Source organism: Homo sapiens, chromosome 11 (genome assembly GCF_000001405.40).
Source record: "Homo sapiens chromosome 11, GRCh38.p14 Primary Assembly".
NCBI classification, from domain to species: domain Eukaryota; kingdom Metazoa; phylum Chordata; class Mammalia; order Primates; family Hominidae; genus Homo; species Homo sapiens.
In genome coordinates this window covers 56,970,616-56,991,934 of record NC_000011.10, presented here as the reverse complement: position 1 = coordinate 56,991,934, position 21,319 = coordinate 56,970,616, and the positions used below count along the sequence as shown (strand labels likewise).

General features: G+C 35.0%; 1 protein-coding gene and 1 pseudogene across 1 annotated transcript; both read right to left on the bottom strand.

Moving 5' to 3' along the window:
- Window positions 1-2,091: 2,091 nt before the first annotated feature.
- OR5AK2 (olfactory receptor family 5 subfamily AK member 2) lies at window positions 2,092-3,021 on the bottom strand. The gene has a single exon (NM_001005323.1). It carries the CDS (start codon window positions 3,019-3,021, stop codon window positions 2,092-2,094), a length of 930 nt encoding a protein of 309 aa, NP_001005323.1.
- Window positions 19,958-20,884, bottom strand: OR5AK3P (olfactory receptor family 5 subfamily AK member 3 pseudogene; annotated as a pseudogene).

Here is a 21,319-nt window from a genome sequence, read left to right as displayed (position 1 = left end):
TTAAATCTTTAATCCGTCTTGAGTTAGTTTTTGTGCATAGCAAAACGTAGGCGTCTAGTTTCATTTATTTGGCATATTGGTAGCCTATTATCCCAGCACCATTTATTGAATAGAAGTTCTTTCTGCATTGCTTAATTTTGTTGACTTTGTTAAAGATCAGATCTCTCTCTCTCTCTCTCTCTGTGTGTGTGTGTGTGTGTGTGTATGTGTGGCTTTCTTTCTATGTTCTCTATTCTGTTCCACTAGTCTATGTCATCGTTTTTGTAATAGTACCAGACTCTTTTTGCCACTGTTAGCCCCACAGTATGTTTTGACGGCAGGTAATGTGAAACCTCCAGCTTTGTTCTTTTGCTAAGGATTGCTTTCACTATTTGGGCTCTTTTCCAGTTTCATATGAATTTTAGAATAGTTTTTCTAATTCTGTGAAAAATGGCATTGATGGTTGATAGGAACAGCATTGAATTTGTAGATTGCTTGGGGGCAGTTTCGCCATTTTAATGATATTGATTATTCTAATCCATGAGTATGGACTGTTTTCCCATTTATTTTTGTCCTCTCTGATTTCTTTGCACAGTATTTTATAATTCTCTCTGTAGAGATATTTTATTTTATTGGTCTGATGTTTTCCTAATATTTTTATTATTTTTGGTAGCTATTGTAAATTGGATTGCATTTGTGATTTGGCTCTCAGCTTAATATTATTGGGGTTTAGAAGTGCTACTAACTTTTGTACTTTGATTTTGTTACCTAAAAATTTAGTAAATTCATTTATCAGCTCCAGGAGCCTTTTGGCAGAGTTTTTAGAGTTATCTAGATATAGAATCATATAGTCCACAAAAAGAGATAGTTTGACTTCTTCTTTTCCTATTTGGGTGCCTTTTGGTTCTTTCTCTTACCTCGTTGGTTTGCTTACGACTTTTAGAACTATCTTGAAGAGCAGTGGTGAGAATGGGCATCCTTGTCTTGTTCCAGTTCTCAAAGGGGAATGCTTTCAGTTTTTGCCCATTCATGATGTTGGCTGTGAATTTTGCATAGCTGGCATTTATTTTGAGGTATGTTGCTTTGATCCCTATTTTGTTGAGAATTTTTATTATAAAAGAAGGTAACATTTTATTGAAGGCTTTTTCTGCATCTACTGAGATCATATGGTTTTTGTTTTAAATGCTGTTTAGGTAGTGAATAACATTTTGTGATTTGCACATTTTCAACCAATCTTGCATCCAAGAATGAAGCCTACTTGATCATGGTGAATTAACTTTTGATGTGCTGTTGAATTTGGTTTGCTAGTATTTCATTGATGGTTTTGCATCTATGTTTATCAGGAATACTGGCTTGCAGTTTTCTTTTTTCATTGTGTCTTTGTCAGGTTTTTGTATCAGGCTGATACTAGTTTCATAGAATGAGTTACAGAAGAGTCCCTGTTCCTCAATTTTTCCAAATAGTTTCACTAGAATTGGCCCCAGCTCTTCTTTTTACATCTGATAGAATTTGACAGCAAATTCTTTTGGTCTGGGATTTTTTTTTTTGGTTGGTAGGTTTTTTTTAGTAGAGATTCAATTTCAAAACTTGGTATTGATTGGCTCAGGGTTTCAGTGTCTTTCTGATAAAATCCTGAGAGGCTGTATGTTCCCAGGAATTCATCCATTTTTCTCTATATTTTCTAGCTTATTTGCATGGAAGTGTTCATAATAGTCTCTGAGTATTTTTTTGTATTTCTGTGGGATTGGTTGTAATGTCACCTTTGTTCTTTCTGGTTGTGCTTATTTAGATATTCCCTCTTTTCTCTTTGTGAATCTGGCTAGCAGCCTACCAATCTTATTTATTCTTCCAAGAAACCAAATTTTGGTTTCATTAAATTTTTGCATAAATTTTGGGTCTCAATTTTGTTCAGTTCTGTTCTGATTTTAGTTATTTTTTTCTTCTGCTAGGTTTGGGATTTGTTGGCTTTTGTATTTTAAATTCCTCTAGAGGTGATGTTAGATTATTAATTTGACATCTTTCTACATATTCCTTATTGTGGAAAAATTAAATTTTAGCAGAACAGCTATGTTGGATGATTTGTTGAGTTGAATGTTAACAACTGGGGCTGATTTAAAATAACTTTTTCCCTATCACTTTTAAAGCTTCTTTTACTTCCTTATTTCTCAAGCTATAGATTAAAGGATTTAACATGGGAATAACTGTGCCATAAAATATAAAGGCCACTTTCATATTTTCCTGGGAATTATTAGAATGAGACTGCAAATACATGTAAGAGAGTGTCCCATAGAAAATGGTGACTGCGGTCAGGTGGGAAGCACATGTTGAGAAGGATTTTTTCCTTCCTGCACTAGAAGACATTTTCAGGATGGTGGCCATGATGTAGATGTAGGAAAAGATGACGACCAACCCAGTGAATATCAAGTTAGATCCCACAAAGACAACAAGTAGCATGATGTTGATGTCAACATTGGAGCATGAAAGAGCAAGAATAGGGGGAACATCACAGAAAAAGTGATTGATGCTATTGGACTTGCAGAAGGACAGTGAACATGTAAAACCTGTTTGTACAGAGGCATTTATTGAGCCCATGATGTATGAACCAGCTACCAAACGGATGCAGACTGTTCGGGACATGATTACAGTATAGTGAAGGGGCTTACAGATGGCAACATAAGGATCCACTGCCATCATAGCCAGGAGATAACAGTCACTGGTTGCAAATGTTGCATAAACTAAGAATTGTATCACACAGCCCTGAAATAACATCAAATTCTTTTCTTCTGTGAAGCTTTGGAGCATCTTGGGAGTGATAGCAGAAGTGTAACAGATATCAACAAAAGCCAAATGTTGTAGAAAAAAGTACGTGAGTGTTTGAAATCTGGAATCTGTGTTGATGAGTAAGATTATTCCACTATTACCCATTATGGAGGTCACATAGATGAGAAGGAATACAATGAAGAGGATACACCAAAACTCATGCTGGGCACCAAATCCCAGAAGATAGAATTCAGTGACTTCAGTGCTGTTTCCTAGTGTCATGGCTAGTAAAAGTCTAGAAATGACCAAGAGAAGGACCCAGAAAAGAAGGGAAATCTTTGAGATTTCTTGCAATGAAATGGCTCTATATTTCAAGTCACTTTTTTCTATTTGTATTTTTATGACAAATACAATAGTGTTATTCATTTTCAAATTTAAGAAATGTATTTATAATCATCAAGTAAAGAGTGATTTACTTGATGTAAGATGAAATGGATTCATCTTCAAAATCGAAGGAGATTGTCTTAGAAGTATCCTAACTCCTAATGTGTATAGTTCTTAGAAACATAGATTGACAATTTTCCTCTGTATTAAACAGCTATCCATATTTTTAAAGTAATGCTAAAATGTAATTTTTTACTTTTTTAGAAACTTATAATTGTTCACAGCCACTTACCATTTTAATTTTGGTTCCAGCTTTGGAAATTAATAGAATTAGAGAGAATTTTTTTGAAATGTGTTCATGGTTCACATATGTTTGAAGGCTTCAACGTGTCTTTGTATTAGTATCCCTAGACTGCATCTCTCATCTATGTGATATTCTTTACAAGCAAAATAACCTCATTATGTAATGGATGCCTGAGAAATAGCCTTACATTTTCTATTACTTTTTTTTTTCAATTCTGTAGTTGAGGAACAAGAAACAATTCTCTTCATTTTAACATCTAACAAGGACTGAAGTATAGTAAGTTCGTATAAGTTTCTTCCTAGGGTAAATTTACTGTAAAATGAAAGAAATACAGTTCTTTCAAGGAGTGTTCCTTTTATTGGGATAAACCTTTATTAGAAGAAGGTAGAATAGGCCAGAGGTCTACTTAAGCTAGAATTTTGATAGAGTAATGACATTCATCATATCAATTTGACTTCAATCATTTGGATTGAAATAAAATAATATGAAATTATGGGGATGCTTTTCAGGAGCTAACAAAAGTAGTACAAGCCCCACCCCCAATTTCATGCAGAATTTATACATTTCTATGTTTATATCGAGTTAGCGGTTGGTTGATTCAGTATGAAATATTTTATTTCATCTATGCTGAAGGTGTTTTCTAATCAAATGAGTGCTACGAAGAAAATGGCCAACTGCCCAAACATTTTTTTAAACTTTTATTTTATGTTCAGGGGTACGTGTGAAGGTTTGTTACATAGGTAAACTCACATCATGGGAGTTTTCCCAAGCATTTTAAACATGCTTAATATATGAATAGTGCTGGATTTCTCAGGCTTCATTCATAGTCAATATTGTGCAGTGGAAAGGAAATAAGCAGCCCTGGTTTTGAATTTTTGTCTCATCCATTAGTAGAAAAAAGCCTATAACTCCCTTTGGCTCTAGTTACTTCCTCTGTACAATGGGGATCACAGAACTCATCTAGAAGTTTATATTCATTCGCTTGTTTATAGTATCAGTAATATGCATATTATCTATAATATTATGTAACTTGCATTGAAAATAAGTTAATGAAAACCTTCTAATAGCAAAATTAGGAAATAGAATTGTATAAATTTTAGTAGACTCATATTATTTATTAATATCTAGTCTAAAGCAGTGAGATAAATATATACTCTTATGGAGTCAAAAGAGAAAAGCATGTTGTAGAAAAATATGTAAATTGTGGACTCCTTGAAAAAACTAAACTCTCTGTCACTCCTACTGTCTCTAGCTTTCATTCTTTTTTATTTTTGGAGATGGAATCTTGCCCTGTTGCCCAGGCTGGAGTGCAGTGGTGCCATCTCAGCACACTGCAACCTCTGCCTCCCAGGTTCAAGCAATTTTCCTGCCCCAGCCTCCCGAGCTGGGATTACAGGTGCATGCTGCATGCCTAGCTAATTTTTTGTATCTTTAGTAGAGACGGGGCTTCACCATGTTGGCCAGGCTGGTCTCGAACTCCTGACCTTAGGTGATCCGCCCACCTTGGCCTCCCAAAGTGCTGGGATTACAGGCATGAGCCACTGCACCTGGCTGCTTTCATTCTTTTTATTTATTTCTGGATAAATGCCAGAAAGTGTGCACATCAATTCAAGTATAGTTATTCATGGGTGTGGCATTAGGTGAACTAGAACATTATTTTCTAAACTTCTAAACTTTCACTTTTATAAGAGGAATTCATGACCTTTATTGTTTGAAAAACCGAGAAAATTGTTTATGTTTTATGTGGTCATTGATACGTTAAAGTTGTCTGCCATTTTTTTAAATTAAGTGTTCATTTTCTTTTTTGTTTATCTCTTTTCTTTTTCCAGCGTTTCTGTGGGTCACTTGAACTTTTTAAAAATAATCCCATTATGGTGCATCTACAGTGATTTTGTAATATAGCGTTATTATTAGATATCTTTGTATAGTTTTTTAGTGGGTTCTCTAGGTGTTACATTATATGAGCATACTTTATTTTATTTTGCTTCACAGATATTGCATTTTTAAAAAATAATTTAATGGTTTGTGGTAATCCTGCATTAAACAAGCCTATTAGCACCATTTTCCAGTAGCATGTGCTCATTTAATTTCTTTGTGTTGACATTTTTTAGCAATAAAGTATTTTAAATAAAGGCATATGCTTTTTTAGACATAATGATATTGCACATTTAATAGACTACAGCACAGTATAAACATAACTTTTGTATGCATTGGGAAACCAAAATATTTGTGTGACTTGCTTTGTTGTGATAGTCACTTAATTGAGGTGGTCTGGAACTGAACTCACAATCTCTCTGAGATATGCCTGTATAATCATAACTTGTGTCCATTTTACCAGTTTTAGTGAAGTGTGGCAACCTTACATCCTTTTTTGTTTCTTTACTGTCTCCCACTTATAATGTAATTGTTGTAACTATTTCCTTCACGTACACTGAGAACAACCTTAGGCAGTATTATAATTTTTGCTTCAACTCTCAAATATAATTTTAAAAACTCAAGAGAGAAGGAAAGTCTGTTGTATTTTACCCTTTCTACTTTCTTAACCTTCTGATGTTTCATGTTTCTTTCAGTTAATAACAATTAAAAGAAAGAATATGGCAGAGTGCATAGAAAAATGATGCAATTATATTGTGTACAAGAAACTCTCTTCAAGATACATATAGGTTTGAAATAAAGGGGAGCAAGAAATATATCATGCAGACATTAATCAAAAGAAAGAAAGTATGTCTATAGAAATATTAAAGTATATTTCACAGCAAAGAAAATTACCAAGGACAAAGAAGAATATTACATAATAATAAAAATGTTAATCTATCAAGAAGAAATAGCAATCCTAAATGTGTAGGCACCAAACAAGTAAACTATAATATATATAAAGGAAAAACTGAAAAAATTGAATTGCCATAAAGGTCAATCTATAATTATAACTGGGGAATTCAATATTCCTTTCTCAGAAATTTACTGCATTAGACAGAAAATCAGCAAAGATATAGAAGAACTCAACACCGTAAGCCAACAGGATATCATTGATATTTATAGAAAGGTCCAACTCACATGAATACAATACATATTTTTTCCAGCACTTGCAGAACATGTATCAAGACAGATTGTATATAATCTCTGTAATTTTAGAAGAATTGAATTCACACAGTTTGTGCTCCTGACCACAATGCAATTGAACCAGCAATCTCTGGCTGCTAGAAAGAGAAGGGAACCAGGGATCCCTGCTCGCGTCTTTCTAGATGGGTAGCCATTCATCTTTAGTCTGTACCCCTTTCAAATGCATCCTGAACCCTTGGGACTCCTTTAAAAAATGCCTTCTTTTTCCTTTCTTCTCCTTGGTTTTCTCTTCACTAATAGGTAATTGTGTCTCTGTACTATAGGACACTCCCCTCAGATGCATCCTCCAAACTGAAAAGTTAATTTCCCAAACCTTAAACTGGCTGTTTTAGGATTGGGCTCAGGGGAAGGGAACCCAGACGCCCAGCATGTCAGCAAAAGTGAAAAGTTTTCTCGCAGCTGGGCTTTTGGCCTCCCTCTCCCTGTGTAAACTGGTAAAAGGTCTCGGAATTTTTGAGCTGTCCTTACCCCTCCCCTTGTTTCACTTTGATACATGTTTTCTAATAACCCGGTTTGTCTGTTCTTGCCTTCAGGCCATCAAACACCAAACAGTAATGCAACTGGAGTCTCAGACGATGGCCCCTTCTGCCAGGAACCCTTAAATAGGGAAGCTCTTATTGCTGTTTCCCCAAAATAGAGGCCCCTGTCAGCAGGAAGCAGTTAAGATTGGTCTTCGTCCTTATCCTTAATCTAAGGGCAGTTAGATGTACTTCTTTAGAGGGGGCAATGAGACAGCCAGGTGGGAGGCGGCCCTCAGAGAAACTCCAGCCCCCCTGCCCACTGAGGGAGAATCTCAGGAAGTTCACGATGTCTGCAGCAGGGAGGAGCCTGGCTCCTCCTCTTCCTGTGTGGAAGCTGGGATTTGAACGGTGGGTGGGAAGTGCTCTAGCAGGGACTCTGGCGTCGCGAGAATCCCTGTTTCCCCCTTTTCTTCCTTTTCACCCAATAAAACCATGTCTCACTCACCATTGCAATTGTCTGCGAGCCTGAATTTTTGTGATGGTGGGACAAAGAACCCCATCTTTAACTGAACTAAGGAAAAGTCCTGCAACACTACAGACATCTCTACACATATTAATTTGACAACTGAAATGAATCAATTAATTGAAATGTATAAACTAACCTATATGAAAAAAATGATAATTTGAATAGCCCTACAGCCATGAAGAACTGAATTTATAATGTAAAAACTTTCTTTCAACAATATCACTGGAAAATTCACTAAATGTATAAAAAAGAATTAACTTCAACTCTGTACAATTTCTTTCAGAAAACAGATGTAAAAGAACATTTCCCAGCTTACTCTATGAATTCAATATTACCTTATTAGCAAAAGCGGACAAAATAGCAAACAAACAAACAAAAAACCACAGCCCAATATCTTTAATAAATATAAATGCAAAATCTGTAACAAAATATTGGCAAGTATAATTCAGCTATGTATATAAAATTATACACAATGACCAAGTGGAGTATATTACAGGTCTAAAAGAGAAAAATCACCAGATAATATAAACTAATGAAGAAAAGGAATTTGACAAAATTTAACATCTACTTATTTAAAAAAATCCCTGAAAACTAGGAAAAGAGGGCAATTTCCTCAACCTGCTGAAGAGCATCTACAGAAAAATCTATAGTTAAAATCCCACTTAATAGTTATAGACTGAATGCTTGCCTCTAAAATTGGGAACAGGCAAGGATACTCATTCTCTTCAGTGCTATTCAACATCGTTTGGGAAGTTCTAGTCAGAGGAAAAGATGTAGAGGCATAAAAAGTGATACAGATCAGAAAGGAAGAAATAAATCTGTCGTTGTAGATGATACGATAGTTTATGTAGAAGAATCCAAGAACCTACCAAAAACTTCTAAAAGTAATAAGTTCAGAAAAGTTGCAGAATACAAGATAGTTCTAAAAAAATCAACACTATTACCGTATTAGCAGTGAACATGTAGAAGCTGGGATAAATACAACACCATTGATAAAAGTTCAAAAAATGAAATACTTAGGTATAAATCTAACAAAACCAATATAGGACTTGATGATGAAAATTACAATAAGCTGATGAAAGAAATCAAAGAAGATCTAAATAAATACATCTATTGAGTTTAGGAGTTAGAAGACTCAATATAGTGGTGTCAATTTTTCCTAAATTGATATATAGGTTTAACACAACTGCAATCAAAATCTCAGCATAATATTTTTGGCATGTGGACAAAAATATTCTAAATTTATAGGGGAGAGCAAAGGAGTTAGAATAGCTAATACAATTCGGAAAAAGAAGAAAAATAATGAAATGAATCACTTTACCTAACATCAAGATTTATTATATATCCACAGTAATTAATACTGTGGTATTGGTGGAATGATAGATACAAAGATGGAGCAAAATAGTGAATTCACAGATTCACGCAAGTGCAGCCATTTGATTTTTGAGCAGAGTCAAAAGCTTTTTTAATAAATAATGCTGAAACAATTAGATATTCATAGGCAAAAAAAGAACCCCTACCTAAACCTCATACCTTATATGAAAATTAACTCAAAATGAATCATAGCTTTAAATGTAAAATAGAAAACCTTAAAACTCTTAGAGAGTAATCTAAGACAAAATCTTCAGGGCAAAATTTTTAGGATAGGTTTTGTGAAGAGTTCTTAGATATGACATCAAAAGCACTATCCAAAAAGAAAAAATTTCCACAATTGGATGTCATTAAAATTAAACTTTTGCTCTGTTAAAGACCTAGTTAAGAGGATGAAAAAGCATGCTACAGACTGGAGGAAAACATTTTCAAATACAGTATCTGATAAAGAACATGTATTTAGAAAATATAAGAACTTTCAAACTAAAAAAAAAAATTAAATTAGAAAACAAGTGGAAGAAACGAATAGACATTTTATTAAAAAAGGCTATATGAGTTGTGAATAAGCACACGAAAAGATGTCCAACATCATTAACAATTTGGGAAATCCAAAATAAGAACAAGATGAGATATCACTACACTACAAATGACATATCACTACAGAATGGCTAAAATGAAAAAAAAGAAAAACAGTGACAATAACAAATGCTGGAAAGATGCAGAGTAACTGGATCACTCATACATTGCTGATGAAAATGGTAGTCACTCTGGAAAAAAGTTTAGCAGTTGTGTAAAAAGCTGCTAGACATACACGTACCATACAACCCAGTCTTTGGACTTGTAGGCAATTATATTTGCGTAAAACATATTCACACAAAAAGCTGTACAACAGTTTTCATATCATTTTCATTTGTAGTTGCCCAAAACTGTAAACAATCAAGTGCCTTACAATAAATGAATGGTTTAAAATATTGTGGTACATCCATGCTATGACATATTACTCAAAATAAAGAGGAATAAACTGTTGATACATGCAACAACTTAGATGACTCTCAAGGGCATTATTGTGAGTGTAAAAAAGCCAACATCAAAGATCATACACTATATGATTTCATTTACAAAACATTATCAATATGATAAAATTGCAGAAATAGAGAATAGATTGGTGATTGCCAGAGGTTGTAGTGGTAAGGGGAGGGGTGTGGTGTGACCAGAAGGGGTAGCACATAGCAGACATGTAGAATCTGAGCTCTGTGATCAAGCAAGGCTGTATCTTCACTGCAGTGGTAGCTAAACAAGTATACATACATATGAAATGACATAAAGCTATACACAACTGTCCCAGTATTAAAATCTTGTTTCGATGTCATGTTATAATTGTGTAAAACTGTGCCCTTGAGGAAAAAGTAGGTGAAGGATATATGGGACCTCTCCTTATTATCTTTGGAATTTCCTGTGAATCTATAAGTATTTCAAAATAAAAAGTTAAAAAAATGAAGAAGAAAAAGTAAAGTCTATTGTGCAGTGATGTGAGATTTAAGTGAGCAAATTTATGTAAATTTCTCAGCACAGGGCTGGGCATGGAAAGTATGCCCAGCAAATGACTTTAATAACAATGCAAATAATACATTAAAGGTATATTATATTAATTGGTTAATTGAGCAATCGATTGATTTATTCAATCATTTGTTCATTCATGTTCTTTCCCAGGTAATACTCAGGCTGAACCAAATCCATCCCTTTATTTCCAGTAAATTACCAGGGATGAAGTAATTCCTCCTGGTTTTGAGGGAAAACATGCTGGGACTTTGGCTAATCTTTTCTTCCAAAATTTCCTGCATGTACTGGCATGATACATGTCAGATTTTGAAAAAAATGCTATTTGCTTTGTTTTACTTACTTTGAGGTTGCCTACAGGTTCTCTTTCTGCAACTGGCACTGATTGCTGACCAGGGTCTCTCTTTTCAGTTCCTCCTCATCAGCGAGTATATAGCTGGGGTATAAGAGATCAATACCCACTTCCTGGAGAACCTGAGGTTCCAGGGGCTCAGACGTAATGGGAAAAACAATGTTTGCTAGTTATTTTCTGCTGAAGCGAAGTTAAGCTCTCCAGGGGGAAGAAAATTCTTGTTTTAATGCCGTCAGGGACTTTTTGCTTTCATTTTTGAGAACTGCCCTGCTATTGACACTTTGCTTTTAACCTTCTTCCCTCTCTCCCTTTTATTCTTCCTTCTTTTCTCCCGTGTTTTTTTTTTTTCCATTTCTTCCTGCTTTTATTTCTTCTTACCCTCACCTTCTCTTTTCTTCAAGGGTGAGGGATGAATAACAAAACATCTATATGGTAAAAAATTCAGAAGTATGAAAGTGTATAGAGTACAAACCATGTCCCCATCCCCATCCATCTATTAATTTCTTTTCTTTTCTTTCCCTTTTTTTTTTTTTTGAGACAGAGTTTCACTCTTGTTGCCCAGGCTGCAGTGCAATGGCATGATATTGGCTCACCTCAACCTCTGCCTTCCGGGTTCAAGAGATTCTCCTGCTTCAGCCTCCCAAGTAGCTCGGATTACAGGCATGCGCTACCATGCCTGGCTAATTTTTTAATTTTAGTAGAGATGGGGTTTCTCCATGTTGATCAGGCTGGTCTCGAACTCCCGACTTCAGGTGATCTGCCCGCCTCAGCCTCCCAAAGTGCTGAGATTACAGGCATGAGCCACTGCACCCAGCCTATTAATTTCTAATCTTCAGTTTCTTTCCCTTTAGATTACCACTGTTACAAGCTCTTGTTATTCTTCCAGATATACAAGTCTTGCATTGCATTTGAAAACATATTAAATTCATATTCTTTGTTTTCCCCTGCAACAAAAGATAATGTATTATTCACATTGCTCAGCTTTCATTTTTCCTAATATTTTTGGGTGATTTGTCTCCATCAGTACGAGAAGAGAAGCCTCACTCTTTTTAATGGTTGTATTATATTTTGCTGAACAGTTGCATTCATTATTCTGTTTAATCAGACTCTTTCCCCCATCCATTGGTTGACATTTAGGTTGTTTTCAATCTTTTACTAATATAAACAATGTTACTGTAAATATTATTGTGAATACATCTGTAGGATTAATAGGTATTTTGGAGAGAATACTGAGTAAATGGTATAATAATGATAACTTTTGATACTTATTGCCCAGCTACCCTCCAGAGGCTCTTCCAATTTATACCACTTCTACCAAATCTAGTGACTGTTTCTCTAAATTCTACCAGACTGTGACAAAACTTTATCAAATTTTGCTTTTTTTTTTTTTTTGAGACAAAGTCTAGCTCTGAGCCCAGGCTTGAGTTCAGTGGTGTGATCTCTGCTCACAGCAGCCTCTGCCTCCCGGGTTCAAGGGATTCTCCTGGCTCAGCCTCCCAAATAGCTGGGACTACAGGCATGTGCCTCCATGTCTGGCTAATTTTTGTATTTTTAGTAGGGACTGGGTTTCAACATATTGGCCAGGCTGGTCCCGAACTCCTAACCTCAAGTGATCCACTTGCCTCAGCCTCCCAAAGTGTGAGATTACAGGCATGAGCCACTGTGCCTGGCTAAAATTTGCTATTTGTATAGGTGAAAAATAATATATTTGGTTTGGCCTTTTCTCATATGAGCTGGATTGGGTATCTTCATATTTCTCAGCACAATCAATTTTTCATTTCATGTGAATTATCTGTTATATATGTTGCCCTCTGAAAAAGTGTTTTACTTTAAAATTGATATTTTGAATTGCCCTTTTTGCCTCATTAAAAAGAATGAGACACTATTTTCTATTATACACAATATTGCTATAAATTTTATTGTACATGTTACTAGGTACAATTATTTTTCATGAATATTGCACTAGTTTCCTCTTATTGCTTCTGTAACAAACTACTACAGGGTAATTGCCACTTCCTCTTCCCCAGGCCCAAAATTTTCTGGAGAAAGACATACAAAACTTGAGGGGTTTTTTTTTTTTGATTACTGAGCACTTCAGAAATTAAGATTGATGGAATTTAGCTATAAAATTTAATTATAAGTGTTAGCTGTTCTAGCTAATCTTTCTAATCCACACTGTACCACTGAAAATGGAATTTTATTGAATTAACTAAAGGGGCAATCTGTCATTTCTTTTGCTTTGGAATAGGGCTAGTCTCTTAAAGAAGTTCCCTTTCATATTATTGACTCCTGAATGACCTGATTCTGGGGGTGATAGCAGTGGTTGGGTTAGTACACAGTCTCCCTGAGGATGTTTAATGTAAAGTCACAGCCTGTTTTATACAGAAAGAACAGTTTCTTAGAAAGCACTCAGCTTTCTGAATATTTTGGAATTTTATTTTAATTAAACATATCATAACAATGTGCAGAGAATTGGATTAGTCATCACCCTGTTTCATGACACACTGTTGCCATTGGTCCATGCACAACATTATTTAATATTAATTACATAATAATTTATTAAGTAGATAATCTAGTCCAATGACTCAAAAATTATCTATAAGATATACCTACCAATGTACTCCTTCCCTGTATTGTGCACCTGCTTAGCCTCTTCCTTATCTGCAAATGGCAACATTCACAGAATGTTTCTTTGTGTTCTTTTATTTTTTGATTTATAGCTTTACATAAACACACACACACACACACACACACACACAGAGACATGCAAACCATATGCTTTCTAGTTTGCCTGTTACTGAAGTTAATAAAAAATTTCCTTCTATTTTATTGTGTGATGTTTATTTTTACTCAACAGTACTAAAATTTATCTGTCGTGTCATAGTTTCCCTGCTGCATAATATTCCATCATTTGATTAAAATGTAATTAAATTTATCCCTTCACCAGTATAGCAGCTGTGTTAATGAATTTGTATACCTCTTTCAACTAGTATAAATCACCAAGGATCTCAGCTTCTTACTTTGAATTCCCTTGTAGTAGTTTTTCAAGGGGATGTGAAAATGACTGTGTGCAGTATGGATTCTAAGGTAGACCCATATCTGAGAAACACAGGACTCCTTTGTCAGCCCATTTTGGCTCAAGGATTTCTCAGTAAGTTTGCCAAATCATCTTTCTGCTTCATGACATTCTCACATGCTTCTTCCCAATCTTCTCTCCCTCTCTTCTTGACTTGGAGTCAAACTTGCATCACTCTTAGCTTTTCCCATTGTCCTCCCTATTTCCTTTTACATAGGCATCCCCCTAACAAAATGTTTGCATGTGTAATCCCATCTTGGTGTCTGCTTCTTAGAGGATTTAGACGAAAACATTCTACCAGTGGATGTTTGGGTAGTTCCCAGATTTTGCTACTATACACAATATTGCTATACATTTTATTGTACATGTTACTTGGTACAATTATTTTTCATGAAGTTTGCACTAGTTTTCTGTTTCTATTGCTTCTGTAACAAACTAGCACAGGGTACTTGCTACTTCCTCTTTCTCAGGTCCAATCATATCATCACTAAAGTGGAGCGGAGTGTTGTTCTACAAGTTTTTTAATGGTCAAGGTCCAATAGGCCACACTGTGGCTCAGGAGAGTTCAGATAGCCCTGGGAATGATTGGGAATGTTTCGTGATATCTATGCTAAGAGAATGTATCTTGCTTCTGAACTTCCTTCCTGATACTTGTGGAAAAGAATGTATTTCCAATTTAGTGTCAGTGCATAGTACTAGAAGCTGTTTTTTCCAGTAGCAATTGCACATCTGGTACAGTGACTGAGATTGGTGCTTCCATTTGGCTAAGGTTGTGGTAGTCAATTTTCTGCCAGTATCTGTTTGGATTTTGTAGGTCCTGGACTGGTGAGTTAAATGAGGATATGATGAGGACCACCACCTTATTTATTTATTTATTTATTTATTTATTTTTACTCTAAGAACATAAGATTGCTTTAATTCCAGAAAACCAATTACATACATTGACATATGGTTAACTGTTACCATATCAAGGGATGAAAACCATATGATTGTTCCAGCAGATACAGAAAAAGATTTACTAAAAGTCAACATAAATTTATTATGCAAAGCTCTTAGCAAACTAAGAATAGACAGGAATCTATTTAACCTCAATAAATATCATCAATTAAAACTACAGCAAATATCATGCTTAAAAATGTAATGTGGAAAGCATCCCTTTCAGGTTAGACAGGAGTAAAGTAACCTTATAATTTATCCAAAAATTTAAGTCTTAGAGAATTGCACTATTCAACTCCATTCCACACCACCTGGCATAATTCTGATTTACGATTATGTTTACTATTCCTCAAAATCACTTTCCCTTTTACTGTAGTGGTAGGTGACCATTATCTTCTGCCTCATAGAAGATCGAGCATCAATATCTTTGGCAGTAGGATATTACAGCTCCAATATCCTTGAAAGCAGTGTGACTTCTTTCTTAACTGTGCTAATAAGTTATTTATGCAAAGAATCATGCCAGATGTTAAGGATTAATTCATAAAATATGTAGTTTTCTTGGTGGGGAATGATGGAGACACGACACATGCATCCACTGACAAAATTGCCCACTACTACTCTGGGTTAAGTGATAGCTCTGCCCGCATTCTTCTTGGTGTCTATAATTCCTGTATACCATTAGATATTCTGCCTTTGTATCTTCTGTGACACATACATACAAATAAAAAGAAAACATTATTAATAAAAACCCAGCAATTCTTGGAGATCCCTGATAGCTTGCTCAAGCTACCAAGCTGGTTTCACATGTTTTATTCCATAAACTGTGGATTGAAAAATTGATAACGCTGACACTGAGGAACTGAGAGAATCGACCTGGTCACCTGTATCCTGTTGCTCTTTTATTCTACACTTCTGCATATAAAATGACAGACATGTATTTTCTGTGTGTTTATTTACAACAACATTCTTCGATGTTGTTACAAGTAGTTGCTTCACCCAGTAAGCTTGGCAAAGCTCTTGTTGCTGCTTCACTTTTCAACCCAGAAACAGCTGCACTGGACTGCAGCTGACTCCTCTCAACTCTACTGAGAGTCCTCTGTCTAGATTTCTGATCTTTCCTTTCTGCTTTCTTTTGTCCATTTATTCCTTCAACATATGTTTGTTTGTTTGTTTATTTATTTATTTATTTAATTAATTTACTCTTTTAGACAGAGTCTCGCTCTGTGGTCCAGGCTGGAGTGCAGTGACAATCTTGGCTCACTGCAACCTCTGCCTCCCTGGCTCAAGTGATCCTCCTGCATCAGACTCCTGAGTAGCTGGGACTACAGGCACACACCACCATGCCTGGCTAATTTTTTGTATTTTTAGTAGAGACAGGTTTTCATCATATTGGCTAGGCTGATCTCAAACTCCTGACCTCAGGCGATTCACCCACCTCAACCTCCTAAAGTGCTGGCATTACAGGTGTGAGCCACCATGTCCAGCCAACAAATGTTTATTGATCAACTACAGTGTGCTAAATATGCTGGATGTTGGGGATCCAATGCTGAGCAAGTTGGATTGCTCACCTTTATGTTCTGTGTTGGTGGGAATGTTCATCTTTCCTCGTGGCAGGATGGATCACACCATCTTTCAGAGCCAATAAAGAAAAAAATTAACCATCAGATAGCAAGAAAGATACTACAACATTTCCTGTTTAATCAGGCATCTCCCTAAACTATCTTTACAGAGAGAGTGTTTTCATTTAATTTCTTTTTGCTGTAATGGTGAAGTCAGAAACTTTAAAACTGTGTATTGTCAATATTTCCTGTGAAGCATTTTTCAGCTCCAGGAAATATTTCTGTTATATTTTCCAAAATGTAAGAGCTTATCTATGGAAAGAAGTGCATTGGTTTATGATGTAGATATGTTCTTTATTTTGTTTTTTATAATTTCAACTTTTATTTTAGATTCAGAAGTTCATGTACAAGTTTGTATATTGCATGACGCTGAAGTTTGGGATAAGAACAATCCTGTCACCCAGGCAGTGAGTATAGTACCCAACAGTTGGTTTTTAAATCCTTGCCCCACTTGCTTCCTTGCACGCTAGTAGTCCCTAGTGTTTATTGTTCCCATTTTTGTGTCCTTGTGTACTCAATGTTTAGCTCCCACTTATAAGTAAGCACATTCAATATTTGCTCTCCTGTTCCTGCATTAATTCACTTAGGATAATGGTCTCTAGCTATATTCATGTGGCTGCAAAGGATATGAATTTGTTCATTTTTATGGCTGTATGGTATTTCATGGTGTATATGTACCACATTTTCTTTACCCAATCCACCACTGATTGGCACTTAGGTTGATTGTATTGTTGCTATTGTGAATAGTGCTGTGATGAACATGCCAGCACCTGTGTCTTTTTGGTAGAAAAATTTATTTTCTTTTCAATATATATCCAGTAATGGGATTACTTGGTTGAATGACAGTTTTGCTTTAAGTACTTTCAGAAATCTACATATTGCTTTCCACAGTGGCTGAACTAATTTAGATTCCCAACAACAGTGCATAAATATTATCTTTTCTTTGCAGCCTCACTAGCATCTATTGGTTTTATTCTTGACTTTTTTAATAATAGCCATTCTGACCAGTGTGTGATGGCTGTCTCATTGTGGTTTTGATTTGCATTTTTCTGGTGATTAGTGATGTTAAGCATTGTTTTCATATGTTTGTTGGCTGCTTGTATATCTTTTGAGAAGTGTTTGTTCATGTCCTTTGTCCACTTTTTAATAGGGTTATTTGTTTTTTTGCTTGTTGAGTTAAGTTCCTTATAAATTCTTGATATTAGACTTTTGTAAGATGCATAGTTTGTGAATATTTTCTTCTATTTTGTAGGTTGCTTACTCTGTTGATATATATATATATATATATATATATATATATATATATATATATTTTAACTGTGCAGAAGCTCTTTAATTTAATTAGGTCCTACTTGTCAAATTTTGTTTTTGTTGCAATTGCTTTTGAGGACTTAGTCATAAATTCTTTCCCAAGGCTGATGTCCAGAAAGGCATTTCCCTGGTTTTCTTCTAGGATTTCTATAGTTTGAGGCCTTACATTTAAATCTTTAACCTATCTTGAATTAGTTTTTGTGTCTGGTGAAAGGTAGGGTCCGGTTTCATTTTTTGGCATATGGCTAGCTAGCCAGTTATCCCAGCACAATTTATTAAATAGGAAGTCCTTTCTCCATTGCTTACTTCTGTTGACTTCATCACAGATCAGATGGTTGTATGTGGGTGGCTTTGTTTCTATGTTCTCTATTCTGTTCCACGGGGTCTATATTTCTGTTTTTGTACTAATACCACGCTGTTTTGGTTACTGTAGCCTTATAGTATGTTTTGAAGTGGGTAATGTGATGTCTCCAGTTTTGTTCTTTTTGCTAAGGATTGCTTTGGCTATTTTGGCTCTTTTGTGGTTTCACATAAATTTTAGAATAGTTTTTCTAATTCTGTAAAAAAAAATGGTATTGGTAGTTTGATAGAAATAGCACTGAATTTGTAGATTGCTTCAGATAGTATGGCCATTTTAATGATATTGATTATTCTTATCCATGAGCATGGACTGCTTTTTCATTTGTTTGTGTCATTCTGATTTCTTTGGGCAATATTTTGTAATTCTCTTTGTAGAGATATTTCATCTCCTTGGTTAGTTGTATTCCTAGGTATTTTATTTTATTTTTTTGGTGGCTATTGTAAATGGGATTGTGTTCTTAAATTTGGCTTTCAGGTTGAACTTTATTGGTGTATGAAAATGCTACTAATTTTTGTATATTGATTTTGTAACTTAAAACTTTACTAACGTCATTTATCAGTTTCAGGAGCCTTTTGGCAGAGTCTGGAGTTTTCTAGATATAGAATCATATTCTCCACAAAGAGAGTTAGTTTGATTCTTTTTCTATTTGGATGCCTTTTGTTTCTTTCTCTTGTCTGGTTACTCTACTTAAGACTTCCAGTACTACATTTAATAGGAATGGTGACAGTGAGCATCCCTGTCTTGTTCTAGTTCTCAAGGGGAAATGCTTCCAATTTTTGCTCATTCATTATAATGTTGGCTGTGAATTTGTCATAGATGGCACTTATTTTGAGATACGTTGCTTTGATGCCTAGTTTTTTGAGGGTTTTTATTATAAAGGGATGTAGGAGTTTATTGAAGAATTTTCCTGCATCTATTGAGATGATCATATGGTTTTTGTTTTAAATACTATTGATGTGGTGAATCAGATTTAATAATTTGCATATTTTGAGCCAAACTTGCATCCCAAGAATGAAGCCTACTTGATCATGGTGAATTAACTTTTGATGTGCTGTTCAATTCGATTTGCTAGTATTTCACTGTTGGCTTTGCATCTATGTTCATCAGGGATATTTGCCTGCAGTTTTATTTTTTGTTTTGTTTTGTCGTTGCTAAGTTTTGGTATCAGGGTAATTGTGGCTTTGTAGAATGGGTTACAAAAGAGTTCCTCCTCTTCAATATTTTGAAATAGTTTCAATAGCATTGGTATTAGCTCTTCTTTTTACATCTAGTAGAATTTGACTGCAAATTTGTCTTGTCTGGGCCCCTTTTTGGATGGCACTTAGCTTCCACTTCAGAACTTGATATTGGTTCATTCAAGGTTTCAATTTCTTCCTGATTAAATCTTGAGAGGTTGTGTGTTCCTGGGAATTTATCTATTTCCTCTAGATTTTCTAGTTTATTTGCATAGAAATGATGTTCATAATAGTCTCTGAGGATCTTTTGTATTTCTGTGGGATTGTTTATAATGTCACCTTTGTCCTTTCTGCTTGTGCTTATTTGGATCTTTCCTTTTTTTTTCTTTGTGAATCTAGATAGAAGCCTACCAATCTTATTGATTATTTCAAAATAAAAAACAAGTTTTGGTTTCATTGATTCTTTGTATGGACTTTTGGGTCTCAATTTTGTTCAGTTTTGTTCTGATTTTAGTTATTTCTTTTTTCTAATTGCTCTAGGTGTGATGTTAGATGGTTAATTTGAGATTTTCCTACATGCTCCCTATTTTAGAAACTTTAAATTTTGGCAGATTAGCTGTGCTGGATGCTTTGTTGTGTTGAATTTTAACAACTGTGTCTAACTTAACAAAACTTTTTTCCTATCACTTTTAAAGCTTATTTTCCTTCCTTATTTCTCAAGCTATAGATTAAAGGATTCAACATGGGAATAACAGTGCCATAAAATATAGAGGCTACTTTCATATTCTCCTGAGAATTATTAGACTGAGGCTGTAAGTACATGTAAGAGAGTGTCCCATAGAAAATGGTTACTGCTGTCAGGTGGGAGGCACATGTGGAGAAGGATTTTTTCCTCCCAGCAGTAGAAGACATCTTCAGGATGGTGACCATAATGTAGATGTAGGAAAAGATGATGACCAACTCAGTGAACATCAAGTCAAATCCCACAAAGACAACATCTAGAATGATGTTGATGTCAATGTTGGAGCATGAAAGGGCAAGAATTGGGAGACCATCACAGAAAAAGTGATTGATTTTATTAGACTTGCAGAAGGACAGTGAAAATGTAAAACCTGTATGTACAGAGGCATTTATTGAGCCTATAATATATGAGCCAGCTACGAGTTGGATGTAGACTGTTTGGGACATGATCATGGGATAGCGAAGGGGCTTACAGATGGCAACATAACAATCCATTGCCATAATAGCTAGGAGGTAACAGTCACTGGTTGCAAATGTTGCATAAACTAAGAATTGTATCACACAGCCCCGAAATGTTATCAAATTATTTTCTTCTGTGAAGCTTTGGAGCATCTTGGGAGTGATAGCAGAAGTATAACAGATATCAACAAAAGCCAAATGTTGTGGAAAAAAGTACATGGGTGTTTGAAGTCTGGAATCGGTCTTGATGAGTAAGATCATTCCAATATTTCCTATCAGGGAGGTCACATAGATAAGAAGAAGTACAATGAAAAGGACATGCTGAAATTCGTGTTGGACACCAAATCCCAGAAGATGGAATTCAGTCACTTCAGTGCTGTTTCCTCGACCCATGACTACCAAAAGTCTAGAAAGGACCAAGAGAAGGACCCAGAAAAGCAGGAACATCCTTGTGACTTTTTGCAATAAAATGGCTCTATATTTTAAGTCACTTTTTTCAATTTGACTTTTCATGACAAATACTCACAATAGTGTTATTTCCAAATTAAAAAAAATTTATAATCATCAAGTAAAGAGAGAGTTACTAGATGAAAGATGAAACAGATTTATCTTCAAAATGAAGAAGATTTTCTTAGAAGAAGACTGACTTCTAATGTGCGTGGTTCTTAGAAACATAGAGAAGCATTTTTTCACTATATTAAACAGGTATTTGTATTTATTCTAAATAACGTTAAAATGTAATTCTGTACCTTTTTAGAAACATAATTATTCACAGCCACTTATTTTATTTCTCTTTCTAGTTCTTGAAATTAGTAGAATTAATTGGA

Excerpts from the sequence above, each read along its gene's own strand:
- OR5AK2 (NM_001005323.1), bottom strand. The coding sequence starts at position 3,021 with ATGACACTAGGAAACAGCACTGAAGTCACTGAATTCTATCTTCTGGGA.